Source organism: Homo sapiens, chromosome 9 (genome assembly GCF_000001405.40).
Source record: "Homo sapiens chromosome 9, GRCh38.p14 Primary Assembly".
Taxonomy (NCBI): domain Eukaryota; kingdom Metazoa; phylum Chordata; class Mammalia; order Primates; family Hominidae; genus Homo; species Homo sapiens.
The window spans coordinates 25,653,052-25,678,881 of record NC_000009.12 but is presented as its reverse complement, the minus strand read 5'-3'; the positions used below and the strand labels follow the sequence as shown (position 1 = coordinate 25,678,881).

The window sequence follows — 25,830 nt, the reverse complement described above, 5'->3', positions numbered from 1 at the left end:
CCCATGACAGGTACTCAGCCCAATTCTGTTTAATGTTTTATTAAACATAGGGGTGGGTTAAACCACTGGGTTTTAAATGAAGCACTTAGAGCTTTTCAACTTGCCCCATAGCTTTGTCTCAGAACCGATCATTCTATTATCATTAGTTTTGAGAATGCCGTGTAAAGAGCAAAGTAACCACTGGTGGTTGCACTCCGGAGCGGGCGAGGACGGCTAGTTCCTGCAGTGCCCAGGCCTGCACGGAAGCGCCCTGGCACAACTCAGCTGAGGATACACGCTTTTTCCCGCGCAGCCGGAGGGCTGAACAGCAAAGCACTCCCCGGGGGAACTGTGTGTCAGCGCAGCCTGGAGAGAGCAGGCCCAGGGGGCAGCTCCACCACAGGAGACAGGACACGCCTCAGTCTGGGCAAATTCCCGGCCTCCTTTGGCTCTAAGCCAGCAGCCGCCGCCCGCGACCTCCTCTCCTCCTCCGTCGTCACCCCGGCCGCCCTGCCAGCCCCGAACTTGCCCGCGCCTGGCCGCGCGGCCCCTCAGCCCACGGGGCTGGCGGCGCGGTTGGGATGGGACCGATGTGGCGCATGCGTGGTGGCGCCACTAGGCGCGGGAGTTGCTGCGGCGGGGACGGTGCTGCGGACGGCCGAGGGCCAGGCCGCTCCGGCCGGGCTCGTGGTGGGGGCAGCCCCAGCGGCGGCGGCGGCGGCGTGGGCTGGCGAGGCCGCGCGGACGGCGCCCGACAGCAGCTGGAGGAGCGGTTTGCCGACCTGGCGGCGAGCCACTTGGAGGCCATCCGTGCGCGGGACGAGTGGGACCGGCAGAACGCGCGGCTGCGTCAGGAGAACGCCCGGCTGCGGCTCGAGAACCGGCGGCTGAAGCGCGAGAACCGCAGCCTCTTCCGTCAGGCTTTGCGGCTCCCCGGCGAAGGCGGCAACGGGACGCCCGCGGAGGCACGCCGGGTCCCTGAAGAGGCCAGCACGAACCGGAGGGCTAGAGACAGCGGCCGAGAGGACGAGCCGGGCAGCCCCAGGGCCCTGAGGGCCCGACTTGAGAAGCTGGAAGCCATGTACCGCCGGGCCCTGCTGCAGCTGCACCTCGAGCAGCGGGGACCACGTCCGAGCGGGGACAAGGAGGAGCAGCCTCTACAGGAACCCGACTCCGGCCTCCGCTCCCGGGACTCGGAGCCCTCTGGGCCCTGGCTGTAGCCGAGGCCGCAGCCGGTGAGAGGCGGAGCCTCGAGCGGGCCCCTCCTCCTCCGTTCCCAGCTACCCCCGACCTCGCGCACGCCCTGGCCCGCTCCCTGCCCGCGGATACCTTGGACTACGGTGCCTTCCCGCCCCCACCAGTGGACACTTCCGGGTGGCGCTTGGCCATCCGCTTGGTGGAGGTCGAGTGGGTGCAAGGGCCCTCAGGACCTCCCACATGTACAGTTCCCCTGCCTCTTGCCCCGGCTAGTTTCCCTGGAGAGAGGCCTAGCCAACAACGAAGGGACGGATTTTAAAACAGCGAGAACTGGGTGCCAAGAAACACTTCATATTCCCTGAACTTTTCTGGATGTTGTGCGAACCTGTTGTATTTTTTTTTTTCCTGTATTTTGGTTCTGAGGGATGAGTAATGTGTTTTTAGTTGGTTGAGTTTATCCATTCTTCAATCCCCTAAAGCCTTCAGCTATTCTTTCATATGTGGCCAACATTTTAAGTACAGTGTTTGCTTTTATAAGTCGGTGTTACTTGGATGTCCTATAAAATACCCACTTTTTATAAAGATGATATTTATAACCTAGGAACTCATGCCTGTCTTGGCTGCAGTCCCTGTACATCTAATATATACTGATTTGTTTGCCCCCAGAGAATTTTTAAGGTATCTGCCTATATCGTGATCTTTTGAAATGGTAAATAAATCTGGTGCATTAAAAATTATCTGAAAGGTTGCGGCGAGTATTATTTGAAGTGTGTTACATTTTTATATTTTTAAAAAGATACCTTTATGAATATACTAATTTAAATCTGGTTTTAGTTGTCCTTAGTAAACTATCATGTTCTTTTAGCTTCATGTAACAGTGATCTTTTAAAATAATCTAAAGATTAGGTAGTCTAAAAGTTATTTTAATCTTTAATGTTCAATTAGCTTAATTAGTACGTAGATAATTTGCCTTATTTTGACTAAGGACTTTTAAGAAATTATAAATTACTTGTATATCAAAAGTTCCCCTAACAAAGTAATTTAAGTCTCAGTTGTTATTTCAATGGCACAAAAAAGTGACTAGTTTAGCAATAAATGTCCTAAAATTACTTTTATTGCGCTTCGTTAATAACACTTTTGCCAACTAAGTAATGAAGAGGATACCATTGTGCCTGATAAAAAAATCATAGGTCCAAGAGTGTTTCAATGATGGAAAACATTTCAGGGGAAAAAATCATGAATAGAATTGTCAAGGGAATAAAATATACTAGTTATGGCATAGTCCAAAAGTATTAAATATTATATATTACAAAACAATGTTTCAGTCGTGTCCGTGTGAAGAGACCACCAAACAGGCTTTTTGTGAGCAACAAGGCTGTTTATTTCACCTGGGTGCAGGCGGGCTGAGTCCGAAAAGAGTCAGTGAAGGGAGATAGGGGTGGGGCCGTTTTATAAGTTTTGGGTAGGTAAAGGAAAATTACAGTCAAAGGGGGGTTGTTCTCTGGCAGGCAGGAGTGGGGGGGTCACGAGGTGCTCAGCAGGGGAGCTTTTGAGCCAGGATGAGCCAGGAGAAGGAATTTCACAAGATAATGTCATCAGTTAAGGCAGGAACAGGCCATTTTTCACTTGTTGTGTGGTGGAATGTCGTCAGTTAAGGAAAGAACCAGCCATCTGGATGTGTACATGTGGGTCACAGGGGACATGATGGCTTAGCTTGGGCTCAGAGGCCTGACACAATGTACCAGGAAAACAAGTTTTGTGATTTTTCAAGTTCTGGGTTATGAAGACACTATATTTTGCTTAAAGGTAATTGATATTCAGATGTGAATATTAGAATCTTCCCCTATGGCCAAAAAATATAAGGAACTTGTTGAGAAGAGGTAGGTATATGAAAATAAATTATATTCCCCTTCACTTCATTTTCTAAGAATGAAAGAAATACAGTGATGTACTGCCTAACCAACATTTCAGTCAGGAATGCGCTGCTTATATGATGATGGTCCCGTAAGATTATAATACTGTTATTTTTATTGTAGCTTTTCTATGTGTAGACACGTTTAAATACACAACTACCATTGCGTTGTAATTGCCGGCAGTATTCAGTAGAATGACATGTTTCCAAATTTGTAGCCTAGTAGGAATAGGCTCTACCATATAGCCTAGGTATGTAGTAAGCTATACCTTCTAAGTTTGTGTAGGTACACTGTAATGTTCACATAACAAAGAAATTGCCTAGTGATGCATTTCTCAGGGCATGTCCCATTGTTAAGAGGCCCATGTCTGTAAAACATGTTTAGGAGGCAGTAGGAATTGGAGAACGGAAAAAACGTTTGTCCACCTTCCTGCTATTAAATTGTAACTTCAGGCTTAAATTGGTTAAGCTCTCCACATCTTAGTATTCTCATTTGTAAAATGAACGTAAGATCTACCTCAACATGTTATAAAAATGTTATTGAGATAATACAGCAAAATGCCTGCTTCAAAGTTTTCATGCACGTCCGTGTGAAGAGACCACCCAACAGGCTTTGTGTGAGCAGCAAGGCTGTTTATTTCACCTGGGTGCAGGTGGGCTGAGTCCAAAAAGAGAGTCAGTGAGGGGAGATAGGGGTGGGGCTGTTTTATAGGATTTGGGTAGGTAAAGGAAAAAGGGGGGTTATTCTCTGGCAGGCAGGGGTGGGGGTCACAAGGTGGTCAGTAGGGGAGCTTTTGAGCCAGGATGAGCCAGGAGACGGAATTTCACCAGATAATGTCATCAGTTAAGGCAGGAACAGGCCATTTTCACTTGTTTTGTGGTGGAATGTCATCAGTTAAGGCAGGAACAGGCCATTTTCACTTGTTTTGTGGTGGAATGTCATCAGTTAAGGCAGGAACTGGCCATCTGGATGTGTACCTGCAGGTCACAGGGGATATGATGGCTTAGCTTGGGCTCAGAGGCCTGACATTCCTGACTTCTTATATTAATAAGAAAAATAAAATGAAATTGTGGTAAAGTGTTGGGACAGTGAAAATTTTTAGGGGTGGTATGGAGAGATAATGGGCGATGTTTCTCAGGGCTACTTCCAGCGGGATTAGAGGTGGCGTGGGAACCTAGAGTGGGAGAGATTAAGCTGAAGGAAGATTTTGTGGTAAGGGGTGATATTGTGGGGTTGTTAGAAGAAACATTTGTCATTTAGAATTATTGGTGATGGCCTGGATACGGTTTTGTATGAATTGAAAAATGGAATAAGAGAAGGAGAAAACCAGGTATTAAAGGTCTAAGAATTGGGAGGACCTAGGACATTTAATTAGAGAGTGCGAAGGAGATTCAGCATAGTCCTGCCAGCAAAGATTATTTATTTACTTTAAGAGTTAAGAGTGGCAGTTTGCGGATAGCACCAGGGGATATCAGCTGTGATGGCTTGGAGGAACAGTGTAAACTGGCAGTGTAAACAAGAGCAGGGCATGTATGAGTAGTTGAAAACGGTGAATAGGTGTATGACTAGACAGAAGATAGTAGGGATGACAAGTTTTTTGGGGCACAGTCTAAGTTGGCCTGGTGCCTGGAATGAGACTGGGGCCAAATAAAAAGGAGCGTCTATACAGGAGCTCAAATGGGCTGTACCTTGTAGCATTCCGAGGACAGGCCTGAATTCTGAGAAGGCAAAGTGGTAAAAGTATTGTCCAGTCCTTTTTAAGTTGGTGGCTGAGCTTGGTGAGGTGTGTTTTTAAAAGACTATTAGTCCGTTCTACCTTTCCTGAAGACTGAGGACCGTAAGGGATATAAAGGTTTCACTGAATACCAAGAGCCTGAAAAAATGCTTGGCTGATTTGACTAATAAAGGCCAGTCTGCTATCGGACTGTATAGAGGTGGGAAGGCCAAACCGAGGAATTATGTCTGACAGAAGGGAAGAAATGACAGCGATGGCCTTCTCAGACCCTGTGGGAAAGGCCTCTACCCACCCAGTGAAAGTGTCTACCTAGACTAAGAGGTATTTTAGTTTTCCGACTCAGGGCATGTGAGTAAAGTCAATTTGCTAGTCCTGGGCAGGGACAAATCCCTGAGCTTGATGTGTAGGAAAGGGAGGAGGCCTGAACAATCCCTGAGGGGTAGTAGAATAGCAGATGGAACACTGAGAAGTAATTTCCTTGAGGATAGATTTCCAGGATGGAAAGGAAATGAGAGGTTCTAAGAGACAGGCTAGCGGCTTGTAACCTACATGAGAGGTTATGAAATGACACCAGAATAGAACGGGCCTGTGAGGCTGGAAGGAGATATTTTCCTTGGTCTAAGAACCATTTGCCTTGTGTGGAAAAGAGATTGATAGGTGGAAGTTTCAGCGGGGGAGTAGGTGGGAGTGACTGATACGAAGGAGGAAAACTGGCCGTGAAGGACAGAAGTTGGAAATCTAGCTGCTTGTCTAGCCACCTTATCAGCATAATCGTTGCCTAGAGCAATGGGATCTGACGCCTTTTGATGGCCTTTGCAGTGAATGACTGCAGCTTCCTTTGGAAGTAAAGCCGCCTTGAGCAGAGTTTTTATTAAAGAGGCATTAATGATGGAGGACCCTTGCGTAGTGAGGAAACCTCCTTCAGCCTATATAACAGCATGATGGTGCAGAATATGAAAGGCATATTTAGAGTCAGTGTAAATATTGACGCGTAGTCCTTTTTCAAGAGTGAGGACTTGAGTTAAGGCAACTAATTTGGCTTGCTGAGAGGTAGTGGAGGGGGGCAAAGCGGTAGCCTCAATGATAGATGTGGAAGATACTATAGCATAGCCTGCCTTTGCTGGTGAGTGGCGATTAGGCCTGGTGGAACTGCCACCAATAAACTAAATGTGATCAGGGTGAGAAAAAGGAAAGAAGGAAATATGGGGAAATGAGGTGAATGTCAGGTGGATCAGAGAGATACAATCATGAGGGTCAGGTGTGGTATCCAGAATAATGTGGGAGACCAGATTGAAGTCCGTGCCAGGAACAATGGTAATTGTGGGAGACTCAACAAAGAGTGAGTACAGCTGAAGGAGCCGGGGAGCAGAAAGTATACGTGTCAGGTATGAGGAAGAGAAGAGATTTTGGAAGTTATGAGAAATGTAGAGTGAGTTGAGCACAGTTTGTGATTTTTAGGGCCTCTAAAATTATTAAAGCAGCGGCAGCCACTGCACACAGACATGAGGGCTAGGCTAAAACAGTAAGGTCAAAGTTGTTTGGACAGAAAGGCTACAGGGTGCGGTCCCGGCTCTTGTGAAAGAATTCTGACTGCGCTAACCATGCCTAGGAAGGAAAGGAGTTGTTGTTTTATAAGGGATTGAGGTTTGGGAGATTACTCGGACATGATCAGCAGGGAGAGCATGTGTGTTTTTATGAGAATTATGCTGAGATAGGAAACTGATGAGGAAGAAATTTGGGCTTGACTGAAGTAAAGGGGGCTGTCTGTGAAGCCTTGCGGCAGTACAGCTCAGGTAATCTGCTGAGCCTAATGGGTGTCAGGGTCAGTCCAAGTGAAAGCGAAGAGAGGCTGGGATGAAGGGTGCAAAGGAATAGTAAAGAAAGCATGTCTGAAATCCAGAACAGAATAATGGGTTGTAGAGAGAGGTATTGAGGATAGGAGAGTATATGCGTTTGGCACCACGGGGTGGATAGGCAAAACAGTTTGGTTGATAAGGCGCAGATCCTGAACTAACCTGTAAGGCTTGTCTGGTTTTAGGACAGGTGAAATGGAATTGTAAGGGGAGTTTACAGGCTTTAAAAGGCCATGCTGTAGCACACGAGTGGTAACAGGCTTTAATCCTTTTAAAGCATGCTGTGGGATGGGATATTGGCATTGAGCAGGGTAAGGGTGATTAGGTTTTAATGGGATGGTAAGGGGTGCATGATGGTCGCTAAGGAGGGAGTAGAGGGTCATATACTTGTGGGTTAAGGTGGGGAGATACAAGGGGAGGATGTGAAGGAGGCTTTGAACTGGGGGAAAAGGTGGCAATGAGGTGTGGCTGTAGCCCAGGAGTAGTCAGGGAAGCAGATAATTTAGTTAAAGTGTCTCGGCCTAATAAGGGAACTGGGCAGGTGGGGATAATTAAAAAAGAGTGCAAAAAGAGTGTCTTCTAAGTTGGCACCAGAGTTGGGGAGTTTTTAAGAGGTTTAGAAGCCTGGCCGTCAATACCCACAACAGTTATGGAGGCAAGGGAAACAGGCCCTTGAAAAGAAGGTAATATGGAGTGGGTAGCCTCGGTATTGATTTAGAAGGGGACAGACTTACCTTCCACTGTGAGAGTTACCTAGAGCGTCTGTGATGGTCCTGTAGGCTTCCGAGGCAATCGGGCAGTGTCAGTCTTCAGCTGCTAAGCTGAGAAGATCTGGGAAGGAGTCAGTCAGAGAGCCTTGGGCCAGAGTTCCAGGGGTTCTGGGAGCGGCTGCCAGGTGAGTTGAACAGTCTGATTTTCAGTGGGTTCCTGCACAGATGGGACGCGGCTTAGGAGGAATCCCGGGCTGTGGGCATTCCTTGGCCAATTGGCCAGATTTCTCACACTTATAGCAAGCTCTTGAGGGTGGAGGTTCTGGAGGAACCCCTTGCAGCTGCGGTTTGGGCATTTGGAGTTCTTGTGTGCTGGAGATGTGGCTGGGGTTTGTCTCACAGTGGAGGTAAGGAATTGCAACTCAGAAATACATTGCTACTTGGCTGCCTCTACTCTATTATTGTACACCTTGAAGGTGAGGTTAATTAAGTCCTGTTGTGGGATTTGAGGGCCGGAATTTAATTTTTGGAGTTTTATTTAATGTCGGGAGCAGATTGGGTAATAAAATATATATTAAGAATAAGACGGCCTTTTGACCTTTTAGGGCCTAGGGCTGTAAAGCATCTCAGGGTTGCTGCCAAACGATCCATGAACTGGGCTGGGTTTTTATATTTGATGAAAAAGAGCCTAAACGCTATCTGATTTGGGATAAAGAAAAAGGAGCATTAACCTTGACTATGCCTCTAGCTCCAGCCACCTTTTTAAGAGGAAATTGCTGGGCAGGTGGGGGAGGGATAGTCACGGAAGGAAACTGTAAGCCGGACCAGGTTTCAGGAGGGGAGGTGATAAAAGGATTGTAGGGTGGAGGAGCAGAGGCTGAGGAAGAATTGGGACTTAGCTCGGCCTGGCGAGGAGGGGAGAAGTCAGATGGGTCTGTAGAAAAGGAAGATTAGAAAGACTCAGCGATGCTTGGGGTTGGGACTGAGGGGACAGGTGGGAGGGAAAGAAGGAAGATTTGGGATAAGTTGCATTGGGAACAGAGACTAGGGAGGGACCGATGTGTAAAAGAATGCCTGGACGTCAGGCATCTCAGACCGTTTGCCTATTTTATGACAAGAATTATTTAGATCTCGTAGGATGGAAAAATTGAAAGTGCCATTTTCTGGCTATTTGGAACCACTGTCGAGTTTGTATTGGGGTCAAGCGGCATTGCAGAAGAAAATTCGGCATTTAGGTTTTAGGTCAGGTGTGAGTTGAAGAGGTTTTAAGTTCTTAAGAACACAGGCTAAGGGAGAAGGAGGAGGAATGGAGGGTGGAAGGTTGCCCATAGCGAAGGAGGCAAGCCCAGAGAAAAGAGAGAGTAGAGACACGGAGGGAAGGGGTTCGGGGGTTCTTACCCTCCAGAAAAGCAGGAAAGGGGTTGGGCACAGAGATAAGAGGTCGAGGCGTAGAAATAAGGGATCGGGGTGCAGAGATAAGAGGTCGGGGCGTGGAAATTATGGATCCAGGGGTTCTTGCCCCCAGAAAATCAGAGAAGGGGTAGAGACATGGAGAGAAGGGGTTGGGGGGTTTTTGCCCCCTAGAAAAGCGGTACTTGCCACTAAGGGTGAAGGAGAAGGGGTTGGAGGTTCTTGCCCTCCAGAAAAGTGGAAAAGGGGTAGAGACATGGAGAGAAGGGGTTGGGGGGTTCTTGCCCCCCAGAAAAGCAGTACTTGCCACTAAGGGTGAAGGACCAAGGCAGGCGTCCTTGGGTGGTCAGACATCTCTGAAACATAGGTGAATAATCAGAGGCGTCCCTGCAATGATTAAACACCAAGGGAAGGCTGCCTTCCTGAGTCCGTGACTGGCGCCAGAGTTTTGGGTCCACGGATAAAACGTGTCTCCTTTGTCTCTACTAGAAAATGAAAGGAAATTAAGAGAAAGGAGAGATTGAAGGGTAGCATCAAGATTGAAAGGAGAAAGTGGTTGAGGGATAGTGAGAGAGGTTGGAGAAGAGAGTAAGAAGAGGCCGCTTACCCGATTTAAAATTGGTGAGATGTTCCTTGGGCTGGTGGGTCTGAGGACCCGAGGTCGTAGGTGGATCTTTTTCATGGAGCAAAGAGCAGGAGGACAGGGGATTGATCTCCCAAGGGAGGTCCCCCTATCCGAGTCACAGCACCAACTTTCATGCGCTTCGGTGTGAAGAGACCACCAAAAAGGCTTTGTGTGAGCAGCAAGGCTGTTTATTTCACCTGGGTGCAGGCAGGCTGAGTCCGAAAAGAGAATCATTGAAGGGAGATACGGGTGGGGCCGTTTTATAGGATTTGGGTAGGTAAAGGAAAAAGGGGGATTGTTCTCTGGCAGGCAGGAGTGGGGTCACAAGGAGCTCAGTAGGGGAGCTTTTGAGCCAGGATGAGCCAGGAGAAGGAATTTCACAAGATAATGTCATCAGTTAAGGCAGGAACAGGCCATTTTCACCTGTTTTGTGGTGGAATGTCATCAGTTGAGGCAGGAACTGGCCATCTGGATGTGTACGTGCAGGTCACAGGGGATATGATGGCTTAGCTTGGGCTCAGAGGCCTGACAAAAGTAAGTTCAATATCTGTGAGAATTATAATCCAAAGTGTGAGAATTGTAGATGCATATTTTTCTTACACTTTTCCCTTGCTTTCTGTATCTTGCTTCTATATGACTTTACATGTATTAGCAAAGATAAATAAATTTGGAATAAATTGACACTTTTTACTACTTAGAAGCAAATAGGAGAGAAAAACCTATATAATAAGAATAATGAAATATAAGTTAAAAAATAATTACCACTTGTCGCAAAATTGGGGATATTTAACAACCAACCATATTATTTAGTTTACATAGTTCTTAAACACTTTTTGTCTTAAAATATGTACATATGAATGAATGCTAAAAATTGTAAATGTTACTGGTGAAAACATTTTTATAATAGGATGTAAGTGCACACACACACACACACACACACACACACACAAATGAGGGTAACTTTTGAGCATAATTCCTAAAAGGCATTGCAAATTCTGAAAATAAAATGCTCATAGGTTGGGTTAAAGCTAATGTCTATTTCAAGCTTGATGAAGTTCTCTGCTGGTAACTGATAAAGCATCATGTAGTAATGTGAAAGGTTTCGTTATATCACAATATGTAGCAATTAAAGAAATGGGTAAAGTTGATTTTTAGAAAAGCCTCTCGTAGAGGAGGCTTTAAAATCTGCAGTTGATTTTAGAAAGGATATACGATGATCTCCTCTTCATTACTTAGTTGTCAAGTGTTATTCATTAACGAAGGGCAATAAAAGTTACCAGGATATTTATCGCTAATCTAGAAATTTTAGTTTGATCTAGGATCCAGTTTGATCTAAAATAAACAAAAACTGCCATGTACCATACCTTATTACAATGACATTTTCTTTTCATTCTTTCAGATTACTTGTCCAATGAAAACAGGGCTTACAGTTTATAGAAATAAGTGACAAAAATGTATATCTTCTTAGCAAACGAATTTAGTGAGGGGGTATTGGCATGTTTTTAATAAACATTTTTTATGGCTGCTACTCACAAAAGTACACTTTATCATATCTAGTACAAAAAAATTAGGAAATGAAAGCAATATAAAAGGAGTACTTACGTAGATCGTAGAATAAGCTTTTTTGCTAAACATCTTGAATATTATGAATATTTGAAAAATACTTGAAAACATTTTTTGTCGTGTTTAAATATTCTTAGACATAGTTTTGTCAATTCACAAATATTGCCATGATAAAGATAATATCAAGGTATTTACTAAACTAAATTAACAGTATATACTGAAAAATTATCAGTAGCATGCCCTTGATCCCAGTGCCAAAAGACCATTTTCTCTTTTGCTAGATTTTTAGGAAAGGGATAGATTTTTACTGAGAATTTGTCACAAAATGTTTGGAAAATCTTCATGAATGGCAAAATTTGTTTATATTTCTATTTACTGATGAATTGATAAATTAAAAATCCTATTTTTGTCTACTATAAACTTAATTTTTGAGTATCTATCTTGTGTAACGTCAGATATGCAAGTAGTATGTAATATATTTATGCAATGTAAATATTAAAAATCAAGGAAACAGACTACACTCACATCTGACTTTCTAAGAATTATGATCAAATTTCAAATTTTAATCCTTAAACTAAGATAATTATAATACCTCAGTTATCAGAATTAAATTACACTGTGTTTAATCCAAAGCAGATAATGCTTAGTATAAAATTCATACTGAGAATCTATTTAGTTGCCAGTGTAGTCTTTGTGTATTTCATGAAAATGTGTTGGTAAGGAAGTATGTTTTTAAATCAACATTCTCAAACATCTGTTGTGCTTGAGAGACAGTTTGAGAAAAAGAACCGTGAATTTGTTGGTCCTTGATTCTTGTCTGAATGATAAGCATTCTACCCTAAAAATCTGAGTTATTTGAGGGAGGAACTCTGACAACAACCTATCTCATATTCACCAGGGGCTTTATAGCATTTTCTTTTTTTTTTCTATTTGTAATGGATTCCTGAAATATCAGTTAGAAAAATACTCAGATGTAAAATCAAAAGACATATGTATGTGTGCATACACACACACACACATGAATTTTCAATGCGTAGTATCCTTTTCCATTGGTGTAAAAGTGATAATATATATTGAAAAGCTTAAAAAAGTCGTTTTATTGTGGTATTTAGTAAGCTAATCTTATTCCTGATAATTGGGTAAAGCCTAACATTTTTCTTAAATCATTTAATTCTCTTATCCAATCCATTATTTGCCCCTATTAGAAGTGATACACAGTTTCCTTGGCCTTACGTTTTTCTGTATTTTCTTTAACTCTAATTTGTATCATTTTAACTGTGCAACCTCTATTGTATTTTAAACTTAATGGCTTTGCCATTAGTTATGGTGAAGACTCTGTTGCTATAAAAAGAAACCCAACAATTCAGTAGCTGTAAAAAACAACTATTTTTTCTCTAACAAAATACTCTAATTAGGGTGCTTCAGGGTGTCAGGAAGCTGTGCCCATATGATTATTTGGGGTCTCAGACTCCTTTTATGGTGTGCCTCTGCCTTGCCATTGCTTCATCTACATGGTAGAAACAGATTACCATACCCAGGTTTCAGTTTATGAGAAAAGTAACTATAAGTGGGAGGCAGCATACCCAGATCTGAAAATGGCATAAATCTCTCCCCTCACGTTCTGTCAGTACAACATCATTACATCACCATTTAACTTTAAAGGAGGCTAAAAAATGTAGTTAAGTTGTGTAATCTTTGGTCCAGCTATAATTTCATTGTAATGGAAGAATGGGAGAACAGATTTTTATGGACAACCACCTTAAATGGAGGCTGTCATCTATTTAGAATTTTAAAATATTTTATGTCTTAGTATAGTATTTTTGAAACTACATAATGTAGTTAAAAATAGAAATATAATGATTGCTTTGTAGATTGAAAAAAAATCTGACTTTTTTTATTCACCTATGCACCATTCTTATGAATACAAAACGTCAGATATTGCTCTATATTTAAAATAAGTAAGGAAATACAGCTAGTAAATTTTGTATAGGACATTCCTATAAGTATGAACTATCTGTTAAAAATTGTATACTATAAAAATATGGGGTTTAGAGCCTATAAGTAGTAAGCATTATTCTGTGTGTAAATCTAAATGTAAAACTTGAGGGAAAATGTATTTTGTTCATCTTATCTATTACCTACCACAATTCTACAACTTTTGGAGCTGAAAGAGACCTTACAGGGTTTTAGCCCAGCATCCTTTAGGCCTTTTTTGTCAACAACTTAATTTTGAAGAAACTCACATTTTACATAGCACGCTAGTTGAGTATTCTTCATTCATTTATCAAGAATAGTTAACCAGGCCGAGCACGATGGCTCACGCCTGTAATCCCAGCACTTTGGGAGGCGGAGGCAGGCGGATCACGAGGTCAGGAGATCGAGATCATCTTGGTTAACACGGTGAAACCCCATCTCTACTAAAAATACAAAAAATTAGCCGGGTGCGGTGGCGGGCGCCTGTAGTCCCAGCTACTCCGGAGGCTGAGGCAGGAGAATGACGTGAACCTGGGAGGCGGAGCTTGCAGTGAGCCGAGAAAGCCCAGGGCAGTCTGGCCTGGGGGAAAAAGCGAGACTCCGTCTCAAAAAAAAAAAAAACAAAAAAAAAAAAACAAAATTGAATGTGAATGTGTAATAATTAAAAGTCTAATAGAACCATTTAACTCTAAAACTTAAACATTTGGCCTGTGAGGGAATGAAAATCAAAATATTGGTCAACCCTAAACAAAATTTAAATTTTACTAAATATTGTGCTATAAAGAAGGCTTTGACCTCTTCAGTTGCCCTCTTGAATATATACGTATGTAGGGATGCTTCAGTTTTTCAGAGTATAATTAGAACACTTAAGTATACTTGTATGATAAAACAATGTAGTTTATACCTATTTACTTTTGCTATCCTTCTCAGTATCAGTCTGTTAATTACAATTTCTTTAAACATAACTGATTTCTGTGTGTTAACTTTCACTGTGCTACATTTCCGGATTCAACTAATTCCAAGATTAAACTTGGTCTTCAAAAGTTCTGGAGGCTTTATTGGTGAATAGCAGAATACTATTATAATTCTATTATATTTAAAATTTTTCAATATTTTAAATAAATTGTAATGATCACATATTAATGTTAGTGATACTAAGTTTTATTAATATGTCCTTTGCTGATTCTTCACATTTCTAAGTATGTTGTTTAAAATAACATACAAAAAAAGAAGGCATGTGCTTAGAAATAGAATGAGCACAGAAACAAATAGTTGAAGAAGGCTGGTTCAAAACCGGAAGGAGATAATATAGGACAACAAAATAGGATATCTTAATTAGATGGGGCTGCTATAACAAAATATCACAAACTGGGTGGCTTATAAACAAGAGAAATTTATTTCTCACTGTTTTGGATGCTGGAAGTATGAGATGAGCATGCCAGTAGACTAGGGTTCCAGTAAGGGCCTTCTTCCGGGTTGCAGACGCTGACTTCTTTTATCCTTAAATGTCTGAAAGAGAGAGCTGTGGTCTCGTCTTTCCATATATGGTCATTCATCTCATTCTTAGGGCTCTACTCTCATGACCTAATTATCTCCTAAGGGCTACACCTCCAAATACCATCACATTGGGAATAGAGTTTCAACATACGAACTTTGGTGGCAACATAAACACTTAGTCCACTGCATAACGTAATGCTGAGCAAAGGTACTAGGGTTTTCTTTACTCCAAAATATGTTCATTGAAATGCTATCTTAATTTTCCCATTAAGATAACAACATATATGCAATACAATTGCACTATCTTATATGGCTAAAGGAAGAAAATATTAAAATCTATCTCAGCAACTATCTGAAAATCTATATACCCATATCTTTAAACCTGCACCGTAAATGAATGTTCTTGGATAGTGGCCAGAACTAACATATCTGCAGTTGTCCAAGCCAGATAGCTGGGACTATCGATACCACTATCTTATATATTCTTTTAAAAATTATATGTGTTTCTGTATGTGTGCATGCATGAATACAAGTGCTTGCATGTGCAAACAAACAAAAGAATTTATACACACTCTGTAGATTCCCCACACACCCATGAGCAGAAAATATTACTTGGACATCATTCCAAATCAAGACCGTCCTAGGTACCTCATTCCTCTTATTGATTTGGATTAGCTTTTGCTCTTAGTAGAAATGCTACATTACATATATATGTATGTTTCTTATTTCATATGTGTACACATGTCTCTGTAATAAATTAATGTAAATGTGTTTTTATTTTTTAAAGCTTGCAGATTTTTAATGCAAAAGAGTCTATCAGTTGCTCTCTGCAGAGTTTGTACCAATTACATTTCACCCAAAATCTTTGAGACTGCCTGTTTTCCGATATTCTTGCCACATGGTGTAATACCAAATGTTCATTTTGCCTATATAACAGATGGAAAACTTAATCACATTTTAAGTTTTAAATTACATGCCTCCTATTACAACTGAGATTAAGCTAGGATCACCATTTGGTAAAATTCTAGAAGTTGAGATTCATGCAGACTATACTTAAGGAAATTTATATTTCCTTTAATGTGAACTTATTTTTTTGTAGGAGTGATATGTAAGTATTTTTTTCTGAAATCTTCTGAATTTATGCTGCTTTTAATCTTTTAATGTCAATGTGGTCATATTTTCAGTCTTTTATTATTTGTGGATTTGTGTAATAGTTATAGTTACATATACACATATATATATCTCTTTAAATATCTGATTTATCTGAAATTATTTTGATGCTAATTTTGGTATAGAGATCCAAAAGTATTTTTATATAAAAGGGGTATCTGTTGATCATCACTGACTAATTTATCCTTTCCTTAATAAAATGTAATGTTGCCTTAATCATATACTAATTTTCTGGGTATAATTGTTTATTATTTCTGTTTATTATTATTTATTTTGTTCTATGAATCTATTCATGTAGCTGTACCATATTGCTTAATCACTATAACTTTATAAAATATTTCAATCTATAGTAATGTTAATGCCCCTCAGTACTCTTTGTTAGTAAAAGTTTTCTTAATTTTGCATGTTTTTAGATGAAAGCTTTAAAATAGTCTAAAACAAAATGTCTTAGGCTGGGTGTGGTAGTGCATGCCTATCATCTCAATGCTTCGAGAGGCCAAAGCAAGAGCGTTGCTTGACCCCAGAAGTCTGAGACCAGCCTGGGCAACATAGGGAGACCCTGTCTCTACAAAAATATTTAAAAATTAGCTGGGCATGGTGGTATGCACCTGTGGTCTTAGCTATTCAGGAGGCTGAGTTGGGAGGATTGTTTGAGCCTGGGAGGCTGAGGCTGCAGTGAGCTGTGATGGCACCACTGTACTCCAGCCTGGGTGACAGAGTGAAACACTTTCTCAAACAAACAAACAACTCCAACATGTGTTGTTGATATTTTTATCTGGATCCAATTAAATGTAAAGATTTAGAGAGAACTGACATTGATAATAGTGAATGTATCCATCCAAAAACAGGTTTTGTCTCTTTATTTGTTCAAATCTTCTTTTCTTTCTCACTCGCAAGCTTGTGAAATTTTCTTCATATGGATCATGAGCATTTTAATTAATTTTATTACTAAATATTCTAGCTTTCTTGTTGCTAATACAAATGGTATCTTTTCTATATTATACCTTCTAATTCATTGTTTAAATTTAGCACTATAGAAGAAAACTATTTTAAAGATTTACATTCAGTCAAATTGCTGAATTATCTTATTGTTTAAGCTAATTTTTTAAGTTATATTTAAATTTTTTCAGGCCTACAATTATAACTTTTTCCAGCATAAATGTTTCACTTTATTTTTTTTCCAATTTTTAGACATTTCTCTTCTGTAATCTTAGGATTGTCATTTTCAATGTCACTGGCTAACACATCCAGAAAAAAATAAAATTAAGTAATAGTGGTGAATAACCAAAAAATTTTCTGACATTAATAGGAATGTTTTTTGCTTTCTCTATTAAGAATGATGTGATTGCTCTGTTATTTCCTAATTTTGTAGTCTTTATCATAACTATGGTTATATACTTATTCCATAAAAGTTTTTTTTTTCACTTTTGTTACAGAACAGTTTAAATAGTAATGGAGTATATATTTTGGTAAATTTCACATGTGGGGCTTTTTGGGATAGATAGATAGATTATTTTGGGAGGCACAGAGTAGTAGATCTTTCAAAATTTGCCTACTTATTTGATGGAAATGTATCTCTTTACAAACTTGGCTCAAGTTGACTAAAGAGAGCAATGTACAGGTAGGCCCTCTTTATCTGCAGGTTGCACATCCATGTATTTAAAAAACAAACTGAATATTTGGAAAAAACAATAAAAATAACAATACAACAATAAAAGTAATACAAATAAAAACAATACAGTACACTAACTATTTACATACCATTTATATTGTATTAAGTATTATAAGTAATGTAGAGATGATTTAAAGTATACAGGAGGATGCGTGTAGGTTACATGCAAATACTATGGCATTTTATATAAGACATTTGAGCATCTGCAGATTTTGGTATCCTGGCATGAGGGTGGGTGGGGAGGTCCTGCAACCAATCCCCTGTGGATGCTGAGGGACAACTGTATGCTCTTTGGTTAAGAGAGAAGTTCTCCCTCTCTGTTGCTGAACTCAGTAGTGCCCTGGCAGTTTTCATATGATCTTAGGAATGGTAGCACGGGGAGATGGAAGAAAACTTATTTCTTAAAAATGTCATTGCAGCTTTGTTTGTGTCTGGAGTTTATTCTACTTCTGGGCTTCCAGTTATGTGAGAAAATACATTTCCTTATTGTTTAAGCCAGTTTGAGTTAGGGAATTTTCTTAATATATGTCAAAATGGAATATTATATAGCAGTGAGAATGAACACTACAATGACACACAAAAATACACGTGTATCACAAACATAAAGTTGAAGAAAAGAAGCCAGACACAAAAAAAACATATATTGTGTTATTCAATTTATAGAGTACAAAACAGTTAACACTTATCTATGATATGAGAAATCAGGATAGTGGATGTTCTTTGGTAGGCAGAGACACTGACAGGAAGGGTACATAAGAATGACTTCAAAAAAAATTAGAACCTATGGAAGAAAAAAAATATTTCTGAGCTGTGTCTTATTATAACCTATTTATAACCATTCAGTATCTTTTGGTGCAGGGCTAGGTGAGAAGACCAGAGGAATGGGATGGAGAACTCAGAACTATGCCCACATATATTTGAAAACTTAATTTATGAAAGAATTACCTTTGAGGTTTAGTGGAATCAAGATGGACTTGTCAATAGAAGTGCTGTAAAAATAGATTATCCCTATGGAAAAATTATTTTTGCCCTTTACCTCACATCAAATACATAATTTTTAACTTATAAAGTCTTAAATTTGAAAGATAATGTTTGATAAAATTCTAGGAAACAATATTGGAGAATATCTTTATGATCCATAATGATAAAACATTCCTTAAACAACACATACCTGAAACCAAGAGGTTATGAATTCAACCAATAAAAATAAATTATTTTCTCAAAAGCCAGCATAAACTAAGTGGAATGTGAACTGGATGAAAATAATTGAAAAATATAAAATGGGTAAAAAATCTAATATCTAGAAATGTTGAGAAGGAATGTAAGTCAAATAAGAAATAGAAAGTCATCCCCATACAGAAAAAGACAAAAGACTTAACGAGTCTTTTATATTAGAGAATAAGTGAGGAGCCAGTAAGCCTATGGAAAGAGTTTCAAATTAATATTCATATAAAACTAAACTTAGGTATCCCATCTCTTGTAGTCAATAACTTAAATACTCAGCATTTGCCTAATGACTGAAGATAAAACAAAACCTAGAAGTCATTCTGTTATGGTTTGGCAGTGTCCCCATCCAAATCTCATTTTGAATTGTAACTCCCACAATTCCCATGTGTCACAGGAGGGGCCCAGTAGAAGGTAATTGAATCATGGCGGCGGGTCTTTCTCATGCTGTTCTTGCATAGTGAATAAGTCTCAGGAGACCTGATGATTTTAAAAAGAGGAGTTCCCCCCTGCACAAACTCTTTCTTTTTGCCTACCACCATCCATGTAACACGTGACTTGCTCCTCCTTGCCTTCCACCATGATTGTGAGGCCTCCGCAGCCATGTGGAATTGTAAATCCATTAAAAAACTTTTTTTCTTCCCAGTCTCAGGTATGTCTTTATTAGCAGTGTGAAAATGGACTAACACACATTCTGGAAATCTTCTCTAATCATTCTTATATTTAAATGGTTATCAAATCCTATAATTTTTGACTCAAAAATGTCTTTTACAGTTTTTCCTTCATCATTTTGGAACTATGTTATCTTTAAGGACTTTTGAGTTTTATTTCCTATAAGGTGAGCATTGAGAAAGACCAGTTTATTTTAGTTCAGAGGATAAACTGAGGTATATGCTACAGACCAATAGTTTTCCAAGTAGGGCAGACAGGCTCTGCTACAGTGGCTCATGCCCTTAACCCCAGCACTTTGGGAGGCAGAGGTGGGAGGACTGCTTGAGCTCAGGAATTCAAGACTAGCCTGGGCAACATAGGGAGATCCTGTCTCTACAAAATATTTAAAAATTATCTTCGTGTGGTTGTGCACACCTGTAGTCTCAGCTACTGAAGATGCTGAGGTGGAAGGATTGTTTGAGCCTGGCAGGTCGAGGCTGCAGTGAGCAGTGATCACACCATTGCACTCTGGCCTGGGTGACCCAGCGAGACCCTATCTCAAAAGTTAAAAAAAAAAACAAAAAACAGGAGGGCAGTCATGTATGTTGGGGCAGAGGTGAAAAAATTTAGATCTTCTATTTATATTTATTTTTCTTATTTTTTAAATGTATTCTTTTTGTTTATGTTCTTAGTATAGCAAATGATATACACATTTTGATATTGTCACCCACACAACAGGTTTTGGTCACTTGGTGGGTCACAGCCCGATGATCACAACCAAGGAGGATTTAGCAAGGGGATTTTATTATTCGCAACAAGTAAGAAAACACCAGGGAGAGCTTGCAAATCAGTGCCTCCCAGGGCAGTGGGGGTGAGTCAAGTTTTATAAGCATAGGGTAATGAGGCATGATCTGACTGGATCTTGCAATGGGGTGATTCTGGTAGGCATGATCTGACTGGATCCTGCTAGGGTTTGATGCCATCTGATTGGATCCTGAATCCTACCCTACAGTGTCTGCTTCTTAACTCAATTATTAATTCAGTTCCTGCTCCTTGGTCAGAGCACTTAGGTTCTTCCTCCACTCCACCCCCTGCCTATGTTCTTGCATGCTGGGTTCATCTGGCCATGCTCACCTTACAAATCTTCAGCCTGAGGGTCTATAGCAACAGAGAAACAGTCCTCAGCTTTGTTACCTAAAAGCTAAATAAGATTGGTCTGATGTAGCTACAGCATGTGCTCACAAATATTTCATAGAGTCAAAAGAACACTACACTGGGAGTCAGAAAGCTCAGTTGATGTGTTTGTCATTTATTAGGTTTAGACCTTAGGAATGTTATTTAATCTCTCTATAAAGTTTTTCAAGTATAAAAATTGGAAAACAATGTATCCCAAATGTATATACAATTAGGTTTGTTATGAGACTTAAATTAGGTATTATATCTGTACTTGCACTTTAGTTTTTAAAGTATAATACCAAGGAAAGAAAATTATTATTTCTAGGGGATAATTTCTTCATGTCCCTTGGTTTTTAGGACAGAAAGTATTAGTCATTACAGTTACGTTGGACTTTTTATTTGATTTGTCCTCTTGACTGCTTCTTAAGGTTGAGAAAGAATTTCTTAGAATTTTTGGGTGTATATTTCTTTGCTCAGCCTTTTATATATTTCAGGTGAGAACCTAGGGCAAGTTTGTGTCTGTCAAGTACAAGAAGGCTACCAAATTAACTTGCAAATCTCAAAGGTTATATTATTGAATCTATGTGCTTCACAACATTTTCTGAGAAGAATAAAAGCACTTTTATGCTTTTAATAAGGCACATCAGTAATACTAATAATTCTAAGACTTGAAAACATCTGACTGTGAAGTTGATTATGTACTCAAGCAGAAAGCTGTAATCAAAAAGGTTTCTGAATCCACTTTCTTCTACAGTGTTTTTAAAAATATTATTGATGCAGATGTTGAATTTCTTTAAAAAAATGCAAAATAATTGGATCTGAAAACTCCCTTTAACTAAAAAGAAGTTTCACACTTTTACAAAACCAATATCTTTTTTGATAAAATAAATTCTTATAAATTATTCTTCTGAAGCTGAGGTTCAGCAGCCTAAAAGCAAAGCCAAATGAAAAAAAAAAAATGTCGAAGACATAACTACCAGATATCAAATCTTTGCCTTCCATATTCAGTCTCCATTCTCTTTACCCTAGTCTGCATTTATATATTACTGCCCCCCCTTGCTTCTTGGGTTGCAGGGCAAGGTTGGCTTCTGGTTAGTTTAGGCCATTAGGAAAAACTAACAGGAGAAGATGTAATGGCCCAGTGGGTTCGCCTTGCCTGCTGCCTAGACAACCGATTTATCAAGACAGGGAAATTGCAATGGAGAAAAGAGTAATTCACGCAGAGCCAGCTGTGTGGGAGACTGGACTTTTATTATTTATTACTCAAGTAAGTCTCCCTGAGTATTTGGGGATCAGATTTTAAAGATTATTTGGTGGGTAGGGGCTTGGAAAGCGGGAGTGCTGATTGGTCAGGTTGCAGAGGGAATCATAGGGGGTTGAAGTTAGGTGTTCTTTTTATTTATTTTATTTTATTTTATTTTATTTTTTGAGACGTAGTCTTGCTCTGTCACCCAGGCTGGAGGGCAGTGGCACGATCTTGGCTCACTGTAACCTCCACCTCTCGGGTTCAAGTGATTCTTCTGCCTCAGCCTCCCAAGTAGCTGAGACTACAGGCATGTGCCACCACGCCAGGCTAATTTTTGTATTTTTAGTAGAGATGGGGCTTCACCATGTTGGCCAGGCTTGTCTCAAACTCCTGACCTTGTGATCTGCCCACCTTGGTCTCCCCAAGTGCTGCGGTTACAGGCGTGAGCTACTGCGCGCCGCCCGAAGTTAGTTTTTTTTTTTTTTTAATGTCTTCTGTTCCTGGGTGGGATGGCAGAACTGATTGGGTCATATTATCAGTCTGGGTAGTGTCAGCTGATCCATGGAGTGCAGGGTCTGCAAAATATCTCAAGCACAGATATTAAATTTAACAATAGTGATGTTACCCCCAGGAGCAATTTGGGGAGGTTCAGACTGTTGAAGCCAGAGGCTGCATGACCCCTAAACTGTAATTTCTAATCTTGTAGCTAATTTGTTAGCCCTGCAAAGGCAGACTGGACCCTAGGCAAGAAGGAGGTCTTTTTGGGAAAGGGCTGTTATCAATTTTGTTTCAAACCATGAACCGCATTTGTTCCCGTAGTTCAGCCTACACCCAGGAATGAACAAGGACAGCTTAAAGGTTAGAAGCAAGATAGAGTCGGTTAGGTCTGACTTCTTTCGCTGTCATAATTTCCTCAGTTACAATTTTACAAAGGCAGTTTCAAAGAGAGGGAGGAAAGAATGTTAGGCTGGGTTTGCCCTGGGTTGGCCATATTCTTCTACCAAAGGACCCAGCTCTTGCAAATCTGCCTTGTCTATGGAACCCTCTGTCTCTGGATTCTGATAAAGACTACCCCCTTAACATTTCAGGCCGAAGAGTTGTGAAGTTCTTCATTGCAGGTAATATTGACTTTGGGATACTGCTCTATCTCTTCTGCTTTCCCTAACCCTACTCAATTCTTTGTAAATAGCTCTTTATTAAGCTATTTTAAAATAGTTCACTTTGAGTGTGCCATCTGCTTCCTGTAGGGGTCTTGATTGATGCAATATATAAATAGTGATGATTGTTAGTGACATTTGTTGGTATGCTTTAATTTATATTATATTTAATGCATTTGGAAGATTTCATTGAACAAAAGGATACATCTCAAACTTTGATCTCCTTAAAAATAATCTAGCTTTATGCTTTTTTGATTTAACTAACTCAAAATGTACATAGGTAAACTTAGGTTTTGACAATTGGAAATATACTAAGATATTACTTCTTAAGTTAAGAAAGTATATTTAAAATGATTCAATAAAAAGTTATTCCACAGCTATTTTTTTCATTTTTTAATCATTTCAACCTTTTTTTTGATTCCGGGGTGCATGTGCAGGTTTGTTACTTGGCTATATTGTGTTATGCTGAGGCTTGGGGTATGACTGATCCCATCACCCAGGCACTGAGCATAACCCAATAGTGTTTTAACCTTTATCTTCCTCCGTGTCTCTCTCCTTTTGTAGTAGTTCCCAGTTTTTTATTGCTTATTATTTTAATAAATTAGGCATAAAATCCCTGACCATTGGTAATGCCATCTATGAGACCATTTATTTCCTTGAAGTGTTTGACATTCAATGCAGAGATACAGACATATAATAGAAAATGGGAAATCAGGGAGAAAATACTAACTTTCCTAACTAGGAAGAAATGTTATTTGAGATGAGTCTTAAAAGACAGAAAGAGGATCAAGTAGGTGGGCCCCATCGAATGTTTATTCAAGCCTAAGGGAACATGAGTAAGAGATATGAGTAGAGATGTATAGGGATGCTCTAGGATTAAAGAGACTGTTATATGACTGAAATAAAAGATATATAGGATTTTATATAAGTTGGATAAAGTAGGCAGGATCAAATAGTAGAAAGCCTTGAATTCCAAAATTCAATCATTCAATGGAGAAAAATCAAAGTTTTTTGAGCAGGTGATTAACTTAGAATTATATGGTAGACATAGGTGCCATGATCAGATGTAGTTTTAAGAAAGGTTACACAGGCAGGCCAGATAAAAATAACTCAAGATGACCAAAGTAAGTAATTTAAAACATTTGTTTAAAGAGATTGAAATAATACCTTGAGTGTTAAATGTGTGAAAAGAAAAGAAATCTTGGGACCTCAAAATCACTAAGCCAAAGAAAAAAGTCAAGCTGGGAACTGCATCAGGCAAACCTGCTTCCCATTTTGTTTCTAAATAAGATAGCTACAAAGATAAAAAGCTACATTCTTTCCTCACAATTTGTCCACAAGGAAATTCCTTGTGGGCCTCAGATCTTTACCTTAAAACCCTTCTGTTGGATTTTACCCTGGCAATGTAAATTGATAGCTTATCTTCACAGATGCTGGACAAAGGACAGAATTCAAAGTCATCCTTCTGCTCACCTGAGACAAATGCATATCTGATTGCTTCCACTGCCCTACTGCTTATGTAAAAATGAAGATTTGCTGAGTCAGACTAAGGCATAAGTGACTATTCCTCCACCTTCCTCACACATGTAAATTGTGTATTCAGCCAAAGGCTGATCAAAGGCTCAAAATAATGCAACCGTTTGTCTCTTATCTACCTATGACCTGGAAGCCTCCGCTTGGTTCCATCTAGAAAGGATTTGTCTTGACTTTCTAGGCTGAAACAATGTACACCTTACATATATTGATAGATGTCTCATATCTCCCCAAAATGTATAAAACCCAGCTATGCCCAACTACCTTAGGCACATGTCACCAGGACCGCATGAGGCTGTATCAGCGATGCATCCTTAACCTTGGCAGAATAAACTTTCTAAATTGATTGAGACTTGTCTCAAATACTTTGGGTTCACACAGGTTATAAAATTTGTGGATATATTCTTTCATTGTATGTATTCAACATTCACAGAATTAAATTCAAGTAACTCCACCAGCTCTACATCAGAGGAAAGGAGAAAGAAGCTGGAGATGGAAATACCAGGAAACGAATTAGAGCAATAGTTCAGTTAAGAGGTAATAAGGCCTGAACACATTTCAAACTGTTGGAGAACGATAGGTTTCTTAATTCATTTTCTCTGAAAGCAGAGCCTGAAGCAAGGGGGTAGGAAAAGATGACACAATCATGGGGTAAACATGCTCAGTTATAAGAGATAAAAGCCAATAATGAATTAGAGAAAAATATATATTTAAAGAACAAACCCAAGTAAGGACATTGGAAAGAGCAGGCTAGAAATATAAGGAAAAATCCAGGAAATTGTAATTCTTAAAGACCTAGGGAAGATAGATTTGACGAAAGAATGAAAAGTTTAGTACTACAAAGAGGTTAAGAAAATGTGATAGGATCCAAGTAAGAAAATGGTCCAATTCTTCATCCATCCCTATATCCATTGTCTTTGTAAAGTAATTTTGCAATTCCATCTGTAAAGAGGTGAAGCCTTTTTCCCTACTCCTTGTTGTTACTTGCTTCCACCAAATGCAGTGGAAATGATGATGTCCCAGTTGGTGTCTAAGACTCAAGAGACCATGCACACTTCCAGTCTTCCTTGGAGTCCTGTCATCACCATATGAACAGGCTTATATGGCTAGCATGCTGGATGAAAGAAGTGTAAACTGATCACTTCTGTTGCCCCAGCCAATAACCAACCAACTGTCCTCAACCAGCCAGTACCCAGACAACCAGTCAGTTGATCACATAGATAGGAGCAAGCCCTGCAGAGGTCAGCTCAGTAAGGCACTACTCAGAAGAACTCACAGTTGATAATTAACCTTGTAGCATGTTTATTTGAAGTCATGTTTTGGTGATGCTTATTATGTAGCAATATATAAATGATACAGGGAGGGTTGTTTTCAAGGGCAGGTTCAAATAAATGATGTAAGGTGTAAGGCAAGCTAATACATATAAATTCTTAAGGAATTACCAGAAATGGTCTTTACAATTTGGCATGTTTTTGCAGTGGCTGGTACTGGTTGTTCCTTTCCATGTTTAGTGCTTCCTTCAGGAGCTCTTTTAGGGCAGGCCTG

The 25,830-nt window shown here is 39.9% G+C and overlaps 1 protein-coding gene across 1 annotated transcript; it reads left to right on the top strand.

Moving 5' to 3' along the window:
• TUSC1 (tumor suppressor candidate 1) lies at positions 438 to 1,913 on the top strand. Its single transcript, NM_001004125.3, has one exon. It carries the CDS (start codon positions 570 to 572, stop codon positions 1,197 to 1,199), a length of 630 nt encoding a protein of 209 aa, NP_001004125.2. The 5' UTR covers positions 438 to 569; the 3' UTR covers positions 1,200 to 1,913.

Coding starts and splice junctions, on each gene's coding strand:
- TUSC1 (NM_001004125.3), top strand. CDS start 570: ATGTGGCGCATGCGTGGTGGCGCCACTAGGCGCGGGAGTTGCTGCGGC.